Genomic DNA, 424 nt, shown 5'->3' with positions numbered 1-424 from the left:
GTGGGTTTCAGGGTTTTCTTCATTCTTTCGATTTATACTTAGTGAGCTCTACTGTGTGCCAAGCATGGTCCTAGGCACTATGGACAGAGCAGTGAGCAGAACAAAGTCCTTGCTCTCCTAAGGGTGGGCAAGGTGGGCCTGAGAAGTGCTTCATGGCCAGTGTGGGGGCTTTGACTTTTATTCTGAGAAGCCATTGGAAGTTTCTGGGTAGAAGAGTACCACAATCTGACTTAAGAAAAGAAAAGGAAAAAACCCATGCTTGTGCCTGAGTCCTATCCCCAAAGATTCTGATTAGATTGGTCTGAGATATGGCCTGGAGATTAGAATTTCTAAAACTCTCCAGGTGTTTCTAATGTGCAGCCAAGGGTGGGATCACTCTGGTTTCTGGATAGAGAATGGACTAAAGGGGCCAAGGGAAGAAGCA

At 46.0% G+C, this 424-nt stretch overlaps 1 annotated feature.

Annotated features, from left to right (window-relative positions):
• Positions 1-50: an enhancer, noted in NCBI's record as "active region_23472". NCBI's record gives its function as "activates an Ori minimal core promoter by ATAC-STARR-seq in GM12878 lymphoblastoid cells {active_cell/tissue: GM12878}" and the evidence as "EXISTENCE:reporter gene assay evidence [ECO:0000049][PMID:35858748]".

The sequence above is a fragment of the Homo sapiens genome, chromosome 5 (genome assembly GCF_000001405.40).
Source record: "Homo sapiens chromosome 5, GRCh38.p14 Primary Assembly".
In the NCBI taxonomy this organism is placed as follows: domain Eukaryota; kingdom Metazoa; phylum Chordata; class Mammalia; order Primates; family Hominidae; genus Homo; species Homo sapiens.
This window is presented reverse-complemented; position numbering and strand designations above follow the sequence as displayed.